Source organism: Homo sapiens, chromosome 9 (assembly GCF_000001405.40).
Source record: "Homo sapiens chromosome 9, GRCh38.p14 Primary Assembly".
Lineage (NCBI taxonomy): Eukaryota > Metazoa > Chordata > Mammalia > Primates > Hominidae > Homo > Homo sapiens.
Genome location: NC_000009.12, coordinates 97091589 through 97109480, shown reverse-complemented (window position 1 = coordinate 97109480; position 17892 = coordinate 97091589). Strand labels below are relative to the sequence as shown.

The 17892-nt window shown below is 36.7% G+C and overlaps 1 long non-coding RNA gene and 1 pseudogene across 2 annotated transcripts, besides 1 other annotated feature; both read left to right on the top strand.

Annotated features, from left to right (window-relative positions):
- Positions 1164–1664: an enhancer, noted in NCBI's record as "H3K27ac hESC enhancer chr9:99870099-99870599 (GRCh37/hg19 assembly coordinates)". NCBI's record gives its function as "activates a minimal SCP1, AML or CMV promoter by ChIP-STARR-seq in naive H9 embryonic stem cells {active_cell/tissue: H9 hESC(naive)}" and the evidence as "EXISTENCE:reporter gene assay evidence [ECO:0000049][PMID:30033119]".
- On the top strand, positions 8070–16757 carry LOC107987104 (uncharacterized). 2 transcript variants are annotated; one of them, XR_007061681.1, is made up of 4 exons: positions 8070–9158; positions 14225–14359; positions 14712–14750; positions 15478–16757. It is a non-coding gene; the product is annotated as an uncharacterized LOC107987104 (long non-coding RNA). The 2 variants fall into 2 exon arrangements; XR_007061682.1 differs by lacking the exon at positions 8070–9158 and adding an exon at positions 12484–13842 and having other exon boundaries at positions 15164–16757.
- VN1R51P (vomeronasal 1 receptor 51 pseudogene) lies at positions 14843–15745 on the top strand (annotated as a pseudogene).
- Positions 16758–17892: the final 1135 nt, after the last annotated feature.

Here is a 17892-nt window from a genome sequence, read left to right as displayed (position 1 = left end):
AAAGGACCTTTCAGAAACTAGTCTCTGAGCAGCACATCTTCTTTTGTTCAAGAAAGGGTAGGAAGCACAGTGTCGCTAGAGGGCAGGAGCAGAACAGAGGAAGGAGAGGGGTGGTGCCACCGGGCTTTGTTGTGGTCAAGGAATCTCTTGTATTCTAATTGAAATTGGAAGCCCTTGGTGACATTTGATGCATGTCACTGTACTTCATTTTTATTGCTGTGTAGTTTTCTGTTGTATGAATATCCCAATATGTATATACCTGTTCTAGATTTGATAGGCATTTGGTAATTCTGGGGTTTGGGCTATTGTGAATAACTCTACTATGAACATTATTGTTCATGACTCTTGGACATAAGTACCCACTTCCTTCCAGTGTATGCCTAAGAGTGATTTGCTAGGTCATAAGATGTACACGTATGTGTGTATATTTGTGTGTGTGTTTATCTTTAGTAGGAACTGCCAAAATATTTTATAAGTCACTCAAACAATTTATCCTTTTACCAACAAGGTAAGAAGTTCCAGTTGATCCAAATTCTTGCCAAACTCAGTACTTTAGGCCTTTTAAATTTTAGACATGATGGTAGGTGTATAGTGGCATTATTGTTTCATTTACATTTATCAGGTGACTAATGATGTTGAGGACTTTTTTATATGATTAGCATGCATGCAGATATCCTCTTTTGTGAAATAGATTTTCAAGTATTTTGTCTATTTTTATTTGGGTATCTGTCTTTTTAAGTTGATTTCTAGGAGTTCTCTATATATTTTGGATATTAGTATCATCGAATATATGTATTACACATATCTTCTCTCAGTTTCTGGATTCCTTTTACAAAAGATAATTATAGTAAAATCTGCATACTGTGAAAAGCAAGTTTGTAATGTACACTCCAGTGTGTTTTGATAAATGTTTATATCCATTCAAAATATAGAAAAGTTCCGTTACTACAGAAATTTCCTTTGTGTCCCTGTCAGTCACCATGCAAAAAATCATACCGCTGTTGCGATTTCTATGACCATGTATTTGTTTGGCTGTTCTTGAACTTTATATATAAATGAAGTCATACACAGTATGTACTTGAGTATGTCTGGCTTATTTTATTCTGCATAGTATTTCTGGTAGTCAGTCATGCTATTGCATGTATCACAATGTGGTTTTTTTTTTTTTTTTGGTCACCTCCATGTAAACTAAATGTATTCTTTTATTGGTGAGTAGGATTCCATTGTAGGAATATGCCACAGTCACTTTATTCATTATCCCTTGATGAATTTATGGTTTATTTCCAGTTTTGCTTATTACTAAGAGCAACTATAAATATTCTAGTACAAGAATTTTTACGATTATTTTTTCATTTTGCTGTGAGGAATTACCTAAAGTGGAATTGCTCTATTATGAATTAAGTGTGTGTTAAAGAAACTGTGAAAAGTTTTCTAAGTGGCCGTGTGACCCTCCTCCAGGCAGGACTTTAGAGTTCCAGTTGTTCCACGTCATCTCCAGCGTGCTCAGGCCTTCATCTCAGCCTTTCTCATGGGTGTGTGGTACTTTCTCATTGCACTGCGGACTTTGACTGCATTTTTTGCTGTTTGACTCCTGACAGTCTCACCCTTCCCTCTTCCCCCTATGCCCCACATGTGGGCAGACAAGAAATGCTGCTACTCCTTTCCTTTGGTGCCCATGGAAAGGAGATTCAGCCCACGCAAGTCCTTGCCCTCATGTGAGGCCTCTCACCCCAGACCACCCCTAACCACAATAAAATCCCAGAGCAGTCTCTTTTTCTTGCTCTTTCAAGTCATTTTGGATCTGCTCGAGAGTCCTGCCCTGGGCTTCCCAGAGAATTCAATTATGTCAGCAGTGAACCTTTTCGTATCTCTTGGTGTGTGTGGCATCGTCAGTCTCAACATCTGGGCCAAGTTTTGAGTGGAGGTCCCTCCTGCTTTTTTGGGGTGACCATGGCACTCACTGTGGTTTAATATGTTTCTCTGATGATTGGTACCATTGGGCACTTTTCCATACACTTGCATTCCTGTGTGAGGGTCTGTTCAAGCCATTTTCCCACTTATTTGGTTTGCCTGTCTTTTCTAAATTTAAAAATATTTGTTAATTCAGTCAAAATGACAATAAATCACATTTATAAAAATTACCTTTTTTAATGAAAAAAACTATATTTCCCAAAACAGAAATTGCATTGACAAGTTGTGTTGTTTTACATTCTTACACATCTCCTAAATGTCTGTTTCAATGGAAAATAGCTGACTTCTCATATCTACTTCTGCATTCATTATTTTTATTATTAATATTTGAGACAGAGTGTCACCCTTCACCCAGGCTGGAGTGCAGTGGTGCCACCTTGGTTCACTGCAACCTCTGCCTCCCGGGTTCAAGTGATTCTCGTGCCTCAGCCTCCCAAGTAGCTGGGATTACAGGCATGGGCCACTATGCCCAGCTAAGTCTTTATATTTTAGTAGAGATGGGGTTTCACCATGTTGGCCAGGCTGGTCTCAAACTCCTGGCCTCAAAGTGATCTACCCACTTCAGCCTCCCAAAGTGCTGGGATTATAGGCATGAGCCACTGCGCCTGGCCTATTATGTTTTGACATGTGGTTTTGATTGAAGTATATGAAGAAAATCTCACTTCACGTAGACCTTTAGTGGGAAAATGGAGTTTAATAGACTTTCCTGAGGATTTTCCTCTTGGATGTCAGACCAAACTCAACAAGTGATAGTTTTTGAAAGTTAGCTGCAATGTGGAGTCTGAAATCTTGTCAGTGAACTTTTTGTACACTTTTACATTAATATCCATTGATTATCTTGCACTTTGGCTCTATTTTCCTTGACATATTTGAAAATATTTTATGACTGAACTATGCAGAATTTTCAAATATTGACATTTCATACACTATCCATAAATCACATTCATTCATTTCACCACAGATCTCCTTAGAAACGTTAAGTCATCAGAACTTCTGAAGCTCACCTTCTGAATACTTAATGATTCCAAAGTTTTCCAAAGTTCTAATTTTTGCTTGAAAACATGAATTCTGTTAGTGGCAACAGTGATGGACTTGCATCCTTCATTTTCAAGACAGCTTCTGCTAACTATTCTAATCTGAAAAATCAGTTTGTCCACCCATCATTCTTTCAAACCAAATGCTGTTCCATGCAGCTGGTCCTGCCCAGACTCCCGAGCGCTGTGCCTTGAGGCAACCATCATGCTACAATACGCAGCAGCGAAGCTTTGTGGACTCCATGCATTTCATCACTCAGAATACTAAAGAGGCATTTTTTATAGGGGCAGGATGAAGAAGACTAATAAAAGTAACTATCTTTAGTGCCTCGTTTTCAGGACATTCTTTTTTTTTGAGATGGAGTCTCGCTGTGTCACCCAGGCTGGAGTGCAGTGGTGCGATCTTGGCTCACTGCAACCTCTGCCTCCTGGGTTCAAGCAATTTTCTGCTTCAGCCTCCCCAGCAGCTGGGATTACAGGTGTCTGCCACCATGCCCGGCTAATTTTTGTATTTTTAATAGAGATGGGATTTCACCATCTTGTCCAGGCTGGTCTTGAACTCCTGACCTCGTGATCCACCCGCCTCAGCCTCCCAAAGTGCTGAGATTACAGGCGTGAGCCACCGTGCCTGGCCGTCCAGGACATTCTTAAGAGAAATTGCCTTTTTTTCTTTTAATCCCCAGTGTGTGGCAGGGAAGAATGCTACCACTACTAATTTGGTGCTGGTGCCCCTGCCTTGATCTGTGCCCTGGTGCCAGCCATTTTCTGTCATGCCTTTTGCACCCAGAGTGCAAATATAAACAAAGTTGTTCCAGAACAACCATGATATTCAATAAAGTTATTTAACTCTGAATATTTATCACTACTTACATTTGTTGCTGAGCATTCACATTAAAAAAAATCCTTTGAAGAGTAGTGGGTGCTGATACAAGTCCAGCCAGGTCTGTAGATTTGCTCATTTGTTCGGTGAAAGTCAAATTCTATAAACAAGATACCAGCTCAAACCATATGTTTGCAGTTGAATCTTTAACTTGATGAGTCAGAGTAACATCAGAAGTGGCACTGCCCTGATTTTTCCTGATGTTTCACCCAGTGGGCATTCAGCAGTGTCAGCTACTCAAGAGAAATTGTCCACGTTAAATATGTGCAATTCCTTGTGTGTCAATTGTAACTCAATGATGCTATGAAAAATAAATTTTAAAAAGAGTTTTTTACTGTTTCTGCTTCTGTGTGGGCTTCTCCAGCCAAAGCACTATGATAATTTACCCTGTAAGAGATTTCAGTGAGTTTCATTTCAAGTTAGAAAAGCTGGAACAATTTTTCACTTTTGAAGAGCTCATAGTACATACATTTAAAATATTCCATTTTTTTTCTTTAAACACTGAATGATTAGTCTCAAATGTTACCTGACTTTTTTAAGTGATAATTTATTTTTTGATTCTTGATACAAGTTATTTAACAAATACCAGGCCGGGCACAGTGGCTCATGCCTGTAATCCCAGCACTTTGGGAGACTGAGGTGGGTGGATCACCTGAGGTCGGGAGTTCAAGACCAGCCTGACCAATATGGAGAAACCCTGTCTCTACTAAAAATACAAAAAAAATTAGCCAGGTGTGGTGGTGTATGCCTGTAATCCCAGCTACTCGGGAGGCTGAGGCAGGAGAATCCCTTGAACCCAGGAGGCAGAGGTTGTGGTGAGCCGAGATCGTGCCATTGCACTCCAGCCTGGGCAACAAGAGCAAAACTCCGTCTCAAAAAAAAAAAAAAAAAAAAAAAAAAAATATATATATATATATATATATACATATATATATATATATATATCTCAGTATTGCAGCTACAGTGTATTCTTTATCTCTGTTACTTGCATTTTTATTTTCTTCCTTTAAAATTTATTTTATTTTATTTTTTTAGAGATGAGGTCTTTCTATGTTGCCAAGCTGGTCTTGAACTCCTGGGGTCAAGTAATCTTCCCACTTTGGCCTCCCAAAGTGCCGAGATTACAGATGTGAGCCACCATACCTGGCCCATTTTTATTTTCTTCATGGTGCTTTTGCCTTTAGATGAAGAGAAGATTTTTAAATTTTCATAAAGTCCTATTTATAATTTTTGAGGAGTTAGTGCTCTTTTAATGTTATAAAGCTATTTCCCTTCTACCTTTTAGAAGTGCTTAAATTATGTTGGGCCTAAAGCTACCTCTTTTTGTATTTTAAATTTGAATCAAAAGGTCTCTCCATACATAGTGAACTGGAACAGATTGTAACCTACTCTTGTGCCAAAGGCTGCCAGCTGTTCAAACCATGTTCAAATAAGGCACATGCCAAACTGTAACCAGTCCAATTCTGTATCTCTCTTTTGCTTTCTGTAGGTCACTTTCTTTATTCTGTCCATAAATCCTCCCCCACCGTGCAGCAGCAAGGGAGTCGGTTCAGGGGCTGCCTGATTTGCAAATCGTTCTTTGCACAGTTAAACTCTGCTCAAATTAATTTGCCTGAAGTTTTTCTTCTAACAAAGCTTAAAAGACATATGTTTTATGCTTAGGTCTCTAATCAATCTCTAATTTTAAGTATGGTATGAAGCAGTAGTTCAGGTCCATTTCTTTCTGTATGTTTATTCAGTTTCCCCAGAAAAATTATTGATAAGAATCTTATTTCCCTCATTAAATTGCATTATTACTTTTGACAAAAAACAGCCAACTACGTATGTGTGAGTCTGTGGATTCTCTCTTCTGTTTCATTTTTCCCTTTGTCGGCTTTGCGTGAGCAGACAACTATCACACTGTTGGGATTACTGAAGCTATCCTAAGTTTTTGAATCTTTATATAAATGTTAGGACCAATGTTTTAATTTGTACAAAAATGCATGTTGGGATTTTGATGAGAGATTACATTGACTCTATAGATCTACCTTGTGCAAATTGAAATTTTAACGATATCCAGTACCTGATCTTTGTAAGTAGTGTATCCTTCCATTGATTGGTGGTTGTTGTTGTTGTTGTTGTTGTTGTTGTTGTTGTTGTTGTTTGAGACTGAGTTTCACTCTTGTCCCCCAGACTAGGGTGCAATGGCATGATCTTGGCTTACTGCAACCTTCGCCTCCCAGTTCACGTGATTCTCCTGCCTCAGCCTCCAGAGTAGCTGGGATTACAGGCGCCCGCCACCACGCCCATTTTTGTATTTTTAGTAGAGACGGGGTTTCACCATGTTGGCCAGACTGGTCTCGAACTCCTGACCTCATGATCCACCTGCCTCAGCCTCCCAAATTGCTGGGATTACAGGCGTGAGCCACCGCACCCAGCCATTTTGTTGTCTTTATCTGAGAAATGTTTTGTAGTTTTCAGTTCAGTGTATGTGTTTTGCATGTTATTTGTTAAATTTATTCCAAAGTGTTTTATACTTTCGATGCTATTTATTTCATTTTGCAAATGGGTGTTGCTCTTTAATAAAACACAATTGATTTTATATGCAGAACTTTTATACTCCAAACTTGTTTAATTCATTCACTAGTTCGTGTAGATTTTTGTAGATTTCTTTGTTTTTCATATACACAGTCAAGCTATCTGCAAATGAAGATGGTCTTCTTACTTTCCAAACTATCTTAGTATTTTGTTTCATCTTTTTTCCTCGTTGCACTGGCTAGGAGCTCCAATACAATGTGGAATAGAAGTATTGGGAATAGAAATCCTCCTCCTGTTCCCAATTTTAGGAAGGACATATACAATAATTCATTATTAATTATAATATTAGCTGCACTGGGTTTCTTTGCAGACTTTTAAAAATCATATTGGGGAAATTTATTTGCTTGAAATTTTATTGTCATTAGTGGGTATTGAATCTCATCAAATGTTTCTTTGTACAACAGTTCAGATGATCATATGCTTTTTCTCCTTTATTCTATAAATGTGATTAATTCTTTGGACTTATTTTTAAATACTAAAGCAACATTGCATTCCTGGGATAAATCCCCCTTGGTCATGATATACCTTTATATATCTTTTACCTTTTGCATATGTTTATGCCTTTGATGGTGATGATGGTTTCTGGATGTATACTTACCCAAACTCATCAGGATGTATATGTTAAATATATACTGCTTTTTATATGTCAATTATGCCTCAATAAAGTGGCTTAAATTTTTTTTCTTTTTTTTTTTTTTTTGAGATGGAGTATCGCCCTGTTGCCAGGTTGGAGTGCAATGGCACGATCTCAGCGTACTGCAACCTCTGCCTCCCAGGTTCAAGCGATTCTCCTGCCTCAGCCTTCTGAGTAGCTGGGACAACAAGCACGTACCACCACACCCAGCTAATTTTTGTATTTTTAGTAGAGATGGGGTTTCACCATGTTGGCCAGGATGGTCTTGATTTCTTGACCTTGTGATCTACCTGCCTTGGCCTCCCAAAGTGCTGGGATTACAGGCATGAGCCACCATGCCCAGCCAAATTTTTTTAATTAAAAAAAACCCACATGAAATATCTTATGTGAGCACAACAGTATTATAATAAATTAGAACTCATTATATTATACCTTTTATATATTTCTATATTTATTTTCTCTATACTTATACCTTTTATATGTCTCTATATTTAGAGATTATACCTTTTACATATCTATTTATTTATTTATTTATTTTATTATTATTTTTTTTTTTTGAGACAGAGTCTCTCACTGTCGCCCAGGCTGGTGTGCGGTGGCACGATCTCAGCTCACTGCAACCTCCGCCTCCCAGGTTCAAGCCATTCTCCTGCCTCAGCCTCCCAAGTAACTGGGACTACAGGCACGCATCACCATGCCCAGCTAATTTTTGTACTTTTAGTAGAGACGGAGTTTCACAATGTTGGCCAAGATGGTCTCGATCTCTTGACCTCGTGATCTGCCCGCCTCAGCCTCCCAAAGTGCTGGGATTACAGGCGTGAGCCACCGCCGCCCGGCCCTTCTATATTTATTTTAAACATTTTATATATCTCTATATTTATTTTCATATATTTTATTATATATGATATCTCTACATTTTCATATATTTTATTATATATGATATCTCTATATTTATTTCCATATATTTTATTAAACATTTTTGCATCTCTTGTTCTTGAAGAATATTGGTCTCTATATTTACTTTGTGTAATGTATTGGTACCAAAGTTACACTGGTCACTTAAGTTAGAAAGCATTCTTTATTTCTAAAAATACTTTTACAAAATTGGTATTTCTTTCTCAAATGCTTCAAGAATTCACTAGTGAATTCACTATTGTTTTGAAGTTTTCTTTTTGGAAAGGTTTTTCATTATGAACTCTCTTCTTTAACATATATAGAACTACTTAGCTTTCTCTTCTATGTCAGGTTTAATGAATTGTGGCTTTCAAGAAATTTATTTTTTCAGTTATTTAATATATTGGCATAAAGTTACTCATAATATCTTATTATAATTTTTAATATCTGTAGGAATTGCACTTATGCCCCTATTTTATTCCTGGTATTAATAATTTGTGCTTTATTTTTAGGGATTTATTCATTTTAATGTCATTTTAAATGTTCAAATTTTGGTTTCAATTTTCTCTATTGAGTTTTTTCCTATTTTATTGACTTCTTTTCCTTTCTTTAGTATTGCATTACTTCTATTTATTTTTAGTTTATTTCTTCTTTTTCTAGCATCTTAAGTGAATCATTGTTTAATAATTTATTGTTTAAGCATTTTTCATTCAGTACTTCCTTAGATAGATCTCACATTTTTTGGCATTTGTTTTCATAATTGTTTAGTTCAATAAGTTTCCTGATGTCCATTGTAATTTCTCCTAGTAACCATGGATTATTTAGAAGTGTGTAATTTAATTGTAATGTTTGGTGATTTTTCTCAGTACCTGATCTCTAACTTATTTATTTATCTGTCTATTTATTTTTGAAACAGAGTCTTGCTCTGTCACCCAGGCTGGAGTGCAGTGGCACAACCTCAGCTCAGTGCAACCTCCACCTCCTGGGTTCAAGCAATTCTCCTGCCTTAACCTCCTGAGTAGCTGGGATTACAGGCGCCTGCCACCACACCCAGCTAATTTTTGTATTTTTAGTAGAGATGGGATTTCGCCACGATGGCCAGGCTGGTCTCAACACCTGACCTCAAGTGATGCACCTGCCTTGGCCTCCCAAAGTACTGTGATTACAGGTGAGCAACCACACCTGGCCCTGATTTCTAATTTATTATAATACTATTGTGCTCACATAAGATATTTCATATGGGTTTTGGTAATTAAAAAAATTAAGCCACTTTATTGAGGCATCATTGACATATAAAAAGCAATACATATTTAATGTATACATCCTGATGAGTTTGGGTAAGTATACATCCAGAAACCATCATCACCCTCAAAGACATAAACATATCCATCACCTCCCAAATTTCCTCCCACCTCCTTTATTATTATTTGTTTTTGTATGGCTTTAATATTTTAAAGTATATTGAAATTTATTTTTATTTCCCAGAATTCTGCCATTTTTACTCTGCCATTTTGTGGTGTAATACTCTATAAATGTCAGTTGAGTCAATTTGACTTGTTCAGATCTTTTACATTCTTACAGTTTTTTTAGTATTTCATTAATTACTGAGATAATGGCATTGAAACATCCAACTATGATGTGTGTTGATACAGTTTTTTATTTAGTTCTGACAGATATTGCTCACCGCATTTTGAAGCTGTTACAGATAAATGCACATTTAGAACTTCTGTGACTTTTTGATGAATTGACAGTTTTATCATTAGGAAGTCTCTTTCTCTGGCATTTCCGGTTTCTTCAAGTGTATTTTATTTGAAATGAATATAGTCACACAAGCTTTATTATGTTTAGTGTTGTGCATATCTGTGTCTATCTATTCAAACTGTATATGTTTTAGTATATATGTAGGTCTTGCTTTATAAATATAAAGCAAATAATGTCTGTATTTTATTTAGTTTATTTACATATAGTATAATTACTAATACAGTTTAGTTTAAATCTATCATCTTACTATTCGTTTTCTCTTTGCTCCATCTGATCATGTCCCAGGAATTCATGTCTACTCATGTCTTTTGCTTTGTTTTTATTTTTTGGTAAGATTTTCTTCACTGTTTTTAAAAGCTTATAGACACACACACACACACACACACACACACACACACACCTGATGTTAACCAATTATCTATGAACAGGTTACTAATATTTTTCAGATTTATATGCATTTTGACTTACATTATTTTCATCATGCAAAAGTTCTTTAGGTCAATTTTTAACAACTCTTTTCTTATTTTATATGAACTTTTTATCTTGGAAACATTACCCTTGACACTAGTTAACAAGTAATTCTCACATATTTTCTTCTAACCGTCTCTTGTGTAATTCCAGATAACTACATAAAGAGCTTTCTGATTTTTAAACACATGAAATTATTGGCCGGGCGCAGTAGCTCACACCTGTAATCCTGGCACTTTGGGAGGCTGAGGTGGGTGAATCACCTGAGGTCAGGAGTTCGAGACCAGCCTGGCTATCATGGTGAAACCCCGTCTCTACTAAAAATACAAAAATTAGCTGGGTGTGGTGGTGTGCGCCTGTAATCCCAGCTACTTGGGAGGCTGAGGCAGGAGAATTGCTTGAACCCAGGAGGCAGAGGTTGCAGTGAGCTGAGATCATGCCACTGCACTCCAGCCTGGGCCACAGAGCAAGACTTTGTCTCAAAAAAAAAAATAATAAAAATAAATAAATCAATAAATAAATACATGAAATTGTATCGTTTCATGTATTGATATACTCTGTGTATTCAATCCATAATTAATGGGTTGCCCTAGTCTTTTGCTACTACAGAAAATGAATGAACATTCATTGCAGTGAAAAGTTTATTACAGTGAATAACTTTTTAAATAAAAATTTTACACATATGCAAGTATACTTAGAGGATAAATTTGTGAATATGAAACAGTTGACTGAAATGGTAAGAGAAAAATGTACCTTTTGTAGGAAATGTTATGAAAGTACATTTTACCCAACAACTCTACCAACAGAAATGAATGGCTACCTTTTTTTAAGAAATCAGTCTTATTATGTTGCCCATAAATTTTTTAATTAAAATTTTAGTCTTAGTCATTCTAATTGTCAAAGAAATGGAATTGAAGTTTTGATTTGCATTTATCTCATTATACATATGTATGAAAATATGTTCCTCTAAGAGTCATTTTATTTTCTTTTTCTGTGAACTGTAACCTCGTACCCTTTGCACATTGTTTTCTATTGGGTTTTTGTTTTATATCTTGATCATTTTTAGAACCCAAAAATATTGAAATTCGCCCTTTGTATCTGGTAAGAGTTGCAGATTTTCCATTCTTCTCTTACCAGTTGTCATTTGAATTTGTTCATTGTGTTTCTTCTACTTAGGAATGAGGTTCACTAATGAATATTCTAGTGCCAGAACATTTCAGCGAATTAACAGAGGAGAAACAGTATGATTAGAAAATCACTACTTTGTAACTCTAATGAGGACTATGTCTAAGCAACAAACATGAATGAATACCAAGCATTTAACAGGTTGATGAGGAATCTGTATAACGGATGACTCAGGCTGATAATACTTGGACCCAATAATCAATTTTAATATCACTAAACAGATATTGTGCTTTCTGTTTTGATGCAAAGGGAAGTACGCAGTACTATATATGAAATATTCTCAATAAGACAAAAATGAAATATATCAAATTTGTAGATACACTTAAAAGTCCATGCAAAATATAGAGGATGGAGATACAAGTAAAGTGAAACCATGAGTAAAACTGTCTGTCAAATCTAGATTATGAAAAACTTGGCAGGCCAGGCACAATTGTTCATCCCTGTAATCCCAGCAGTTTGGGAAGCCAAGGCGGGAGGATTGCTGGAGCCAGGAGTTCAAGACCAGCTTAGGCAACATAGTGAGACCCTCTCTCTACAAAAAAATAAAAATCTAGCCAGATGTGGTTGCTGACACCTGTAGTCCCAGCTACTTAGGAGGCGGAGGTGGGAGGATCACTTGAGGTTACAGTGAGCTATGATTGCACCAGTGCACTCCAGTCTGGGTGATACAGCAAAACCCTGTTCTAAAAAATGAAAAATTAAAAAAGAGAAAAAAAGAAAATTCTACAGTAATAGTGACATGATATCTTCAATTTGTAAATATAATAACAAAAAAAGAGAGAGGGCGGCCCAGCCCTCTCAGAGGAATAAGTAGCAGATTTATTGTTTCACCATCAACAATTGTCAAAGGGGAAGAAAATAAGCAACTGTGTCCAGGTTTTGAAAAACAGACAGTACAGACTACAGTTCCTTTTATTTATTTATTTTCTTTCTTCCTTTTATTTATTTATTGAAGACAGAATCTTGCCCTTTGGCCCAGGCTGGAGTGCAGTGGCTCCATCACAGCTCACTGTAGCCTTGACCTCCCGGGCCCAAACAATCTTTCCACTTCAGCCTCCTGAGTAGCTGGGACTGCAGGCACACGCCACCACATTTGGCTAATTTGTCGTAGAGACGGAGTCTCACTATGTTGGCCAGGCTGAATGACTATAATTCTTAAGTGAAGGGAACAGAGCCATGAGCCAGGAAATGGAGCCCAAACATAGAGCAGAGATCTTGTGGGATGATGAAACCTATCAGATGTTGGGGCTTTTGAAGTGGCTGAATTTTATGTGGAAAGTCACCAGAGAGGAAAGAATGGGGCAGGGAAGGATCCCCAGGATTGCATGCAGGTCATGTGATGTCCTGGTTGTACACTAAGCTGCACATGCACAAGGACACAAGGCAGGACCCTGAGAGCTCAGAGAGGATAAATCAGGGGCCGGAGCGAAAGGGAGAGGAGCACTTGGGGGTTGAATGGAGAATTCTAGATTGCACTGCTCCCAGATAGAGTTCAAGCAGCCAGAACAGAGACCATGCATGACTGTTTCTTTATATTTCCCATCGTTACGGTGTTTGTTCTTGTGTATAGTGTGGGAAACTAATCCGACTTTTTCAAATGGCTATGCCATTGGAAAAATAAATGGCTACATCATTTACTTAAAAATTCCCCTTTTTAGCCCAATGATTTGAGATATGAACTTTTTATGATTTACTAATTTTCCATAATATTTGGATTTTATTTGTGTGCTTGATTTTAGTTCTATCTCATTCATCTATTTGTTTAGTCGTGGGCCATTATTATTGTTTTAATTATATAGTCTTTGCAGTTGGCTTAATATGTGGTGATGTTAATCCCCCTCGTTTCTCTTGATAGTATTTTTCTACCCTTGTGATTATTTTTCCATATGAACTTCAATATCAACTTGTCTAGATCCAAAAACCCAACCAAAAGAAACTACTGTTGTTATCTCAATTGGGATTGCATTGACTTCATATGCTAAATTACTGGAGAACTGACATACTGATGATATTGAGGCTTTCTATCCAAATGTCTCTACATCTGTTCAAGCCACTTTTATGTTTTTTAGAAATGTTTTACAGTGTTTTTTTGGTGTGTGTGTTGCTGTTTTTTGTATTTGAGACAGGGTCTTGCACTGTTGCCCAAGCTGGAGTGTAATGGCATGAAACAGCATCCTGCAGCCTCATCTTCCTGGGCTCAAGCAACCCTCCTGCCTCAGCCTTCCTAGTAGCTGGGACCACAGGTGTGCACCACCACGCCCAGCTAATTTTTTTTATTTTTTGTAGAGACAAGGGTCTCACTTTGTTGCCCAGGTTAGTCTCAAACTCCCAGGCTCAAGCAATCCTCCTGTTTTGGCCTCCCAAAGCATTGGGATTACAGGCATGCACCACAATTCCTGACCTACAGTTTTCTTCTTATGGGCTTTGTACATTTCTTGGTAAGTTTATTCCTAAGTATGTTTTATTGCTATTGTAAATGTAGTTATCTCTGCCCTTATAGCTTCTGACTGTAATTTGTATGTGTGAAGGCTATTTATTTTTGTACAATTGTCTTCAAATTTTTAATATGTATTTTAAATTGCTTTGCCAAAGATATCAACACTTGATCCCCATTAGCATTATAGGAAAATTTATTATCTTACTGGACCTTTTCATTTTTGAAGCAGATTAATTTGGAAACTTTTACAAATTGATGAGCAAAATTATTTGTTTCCATTTGAATTGATTTAATAACTGAAAAAGTTATTTTTCATGTTTTTATCACTTATAAACCTTCTATAAATTTATCTTTAATTTCTCTTTTCCACTTTTCTGTTTCAGCCTCCTGGTATTTTTAAGGAAATGTAAGAGTGTGAATCAGGTACTGATGGTTTTGACTTCATTATGATCAGCATCTTTGGCTTCCATCAGAGTAGACACTGAACGTTTTCATCCAACCGGATGATGAGTGCATTAGTGAGTATTTATTTAGTTCATAATACATGTTCCTGCCACACTCCACTGTAATTTGTTTCAGACTGACTAATGTAATGAGAAATCTTACCAAATATAAATGGCACTGCAGATCAAAACCCACTTGATTTTTCTCATTTTATTCTGGGTTCTGGAGAGAGACTAATTATTACTGCCAAAATAAATGTGTGTCATAAATGAAGGCTTATTTGCTATGGAAATACTCATTATTTCCTATTGGCCTACATCATATCCCAAAATTACCTGTGAACATTGAGAGGGATAATTGGTTACCATGGAACTTTCCAACATGATATTTAATATAGTTCTATTCTTTTCGTATTCCCTTTTAAAGGAACTACATAAGAGATGAAATCCTTTCTCCCTGGGACATGTATCCTTTTGTGTTCTGCTTTTAATTTGATGTTTTTCAGTCTTTTCAGGCTGAAATATAATATTTGTATCATTCTGAGAGCCTGTAACACCATGCTTTCCAGCAATACAATTATGGAAATTTTTTTCCTCTCTCATATTGACATTGGGATTTGGAGGAACTTACTGCTACTCCTGATGCCTATTTACACCTTTTTGATATGTCCCCAGCAGAAGAAGCCCATGGGCTTGCTTTTCCTTCACTTGTCTGTTGCTAATACGATGACACTTCTCCGCAAAGTTATTCCATTGGCAGTAAAATCTTTCAACACTAAAAATCTTTTGAATTATACTGGATGTAGGGAATTTGAATTTTTATATAGAGTATCTTGGGGACTTCCCCTATGTACGACATACCTCCTAAGCATGGTGCAGGCCCTCCGTGGGAGCCCCAGCAAATCCAGGTGGACGTGGCTGAAAGACAAAATGCTCAAAACACCACTGTGCTTCTTCTTACACTCTGGGTCATCAACAGTCTCATCTACATCAAGCTTGTGCCATTTGTTGACACTATCAAATATGGCAGTGTCACCAAGAATCTCTCCATAAAAATGTGTTTAGCTACACCACACATGGGCAACACAATTGCTGTCTCTCATACGAGTGTTATCACATTCCAGGACTTAATTTTTCTGGTTCTCATGAGTTGAGCCAGTGGCTACTTGGTGATTTTCCTTCACAGACACCAGAAAAATAATCCACATCTTCACAACAACAGCTGTTCCTCTATAGCCTCCCATGAGACCGGAACCATCACGACTGCGCTGCTGCTTATGATTTGCTTCGTTGTATTTAATGTGAGCAACTCGTGCCACAGCATTTACCTAAGTACGGTGAAGAAAAGGGATCAGTTGTGGACCATCTCAGATTTGATTTCCTCATGTTACCCCATTTTTTGGTCCATTTTTGCTCATTGGTAGAGAAAGTCTTATCCTGAATTCAAAATCTATGAAGTAGAGAAAGTCGTCTTATCCCATAGATATGTCAAAGTAAACTTTCACCAATATAAACTTTTTCCAAAACAACATTCTATAAAGAGTTGGTATTCTGAAGAAATGATGGGATTTAGGTCTGAAAAATGAGATATTTCTCAGTTCACTGCATGAAATATAATCTAATGACCTTTACCTTCAGTAAAGACAATATTGCATAGCTTAGTATTTAATGTTTGTATACATAGATATAATCATTTAATAGACAAGTAGATAGATAATTTTTCATGTCAGATGTTATAATGGACTTCTTGCACTAGTCATTCAATATCCATATTTTTCTTACTTTAATTTGTGTTCAGCATGAAAAATCATTTCAAAAGGAGATCAGGGACTCCAGGAAGCAGAGCGTAACTCCCCACTTCTAAACTGTGGGCTTCACATAATGACATCCTACCAAGAAATCAGTATAGCAAAGGAGGAAAAAGAGTAACTTCGCATTGGAGAAACCTAACAAACACTGTCTCAGCCAGGTGATCAAGGCCACTGTGAGCAGTGATCAGTCAAGTCGAAAGTGCATATCATATGACAGGATGAGAATGGCATTTTACCTCGACATCTTCCCTCCCAAAACTAATAATCCTACTACATCAGACAAACCTCAGCTGAGAAACAGTTTCCAAAAACACCTGACTAGTACCCCCTAAAACCATCAAGGTCATCAAGAACAATGTAGTCCTGAGAAATGATCACAGCCGGGAAGAACCTAAGGACTTGGTGTCCTTTGGTATCCTGATATGGAATCCTGGAGCAGAAAAGGACATTAAGTAAAAACCAAGGAAATAGAAATAAAGTATAAACTTAATAATATATCAATATTAATTCATTAATTGTGACAAATGTAACATAGTAATGTAAGACATTAAAATGGGGAAAATTGGGTATGATGTGGAGGAGAACTCTGTGTATTCTATTTGCAACTCTTCTGTAAATGTAAACCTATTTGAAAATTAAAAATTTATTTTTTAAAAAGAAAATTAAGAAACCTATATACTTAAATTTGAGGAAACAAAAATTACTTTCCTTGCCTAAAGTATGTGTTCTACATTTTAGGATTTACCTGACATCCTAATGAATAGACTTTTTTAATGTATACAATCTTATGTCACTAATTTAAATGTAAATGTTTAAGAGTTACAAGGTTCAGTCTATTAATTTTATTAACTTGGCCCTTGAAGAAGACTCATATAAGAAAGAGGATGTTTTGACCTGAATTATTTCTATACAAAGCACTCTTTGATGAGGACAGTACACACTTCATATAATAACCAGCACAAAATAAAATTCCAGATAAATATTCATACTATCAAGCATGTAAGAAAAAAAGCAACGCAGGCTTCTGCTTAATATGCTAAAACTTTCTAAGATTTCCCAGAGCCAAGCACATTTGTCTGAAGTTCAGTTTTTAAAAGTTATTTTAACTCTGTCCCCAGCTGACACGGTTGATGAGTTGGAAATGTCATAAATGAAGTCATATTTCAGCAAGTACACTAGGAACGGAAGAGATAAAGATCACAGCAAGTTTAGTGATGAAAATTTAACTCCATTTGGTACTGTGTCTCAAGTGTTAAGCTAAAATAGAAATATTGTTGGTTCATCAACATAACATTATTTTGGTTCCCTGACCCTCTGCTATGTAAACAGCCCTTCCATTTTGCACAAATGCATGCACGCATGTAAATCTAGAGAAGAGAAGATGATGGTGGTTGCTACGGGTGAGTTGGAGAATTGAGTCTCAGAATTTGGGTACAGGGACTCCTGGTTTTTAAAAGAATGGATTGGGGGAGAAAATTTGAATTTTTAGTCTCTTTTTGTAATACTTCAGGATCTTAAATTCTAATGTCATAAACCCACCTTGAATTAATTTGGGTAAAAGATGACTTTGTTGACTCACAAAAGTCAGAGGAAGAACAGAGCAGCTATAATGTAGGAGGGTGACAAAATAATTTGGGTTAAAAGTAGAGCTAGATATTGGCTGTTGTTATTTCCCAGCTTTACTTCATTTTTTTAATGATACAATATTCTAAATTCCCAGGAAAAATTTCCAGTTGGCCCCTGATGGAAAAGTGCTCATGTGAGGTGCATCTAGCTGTAGACAGGGAATAAATTCAT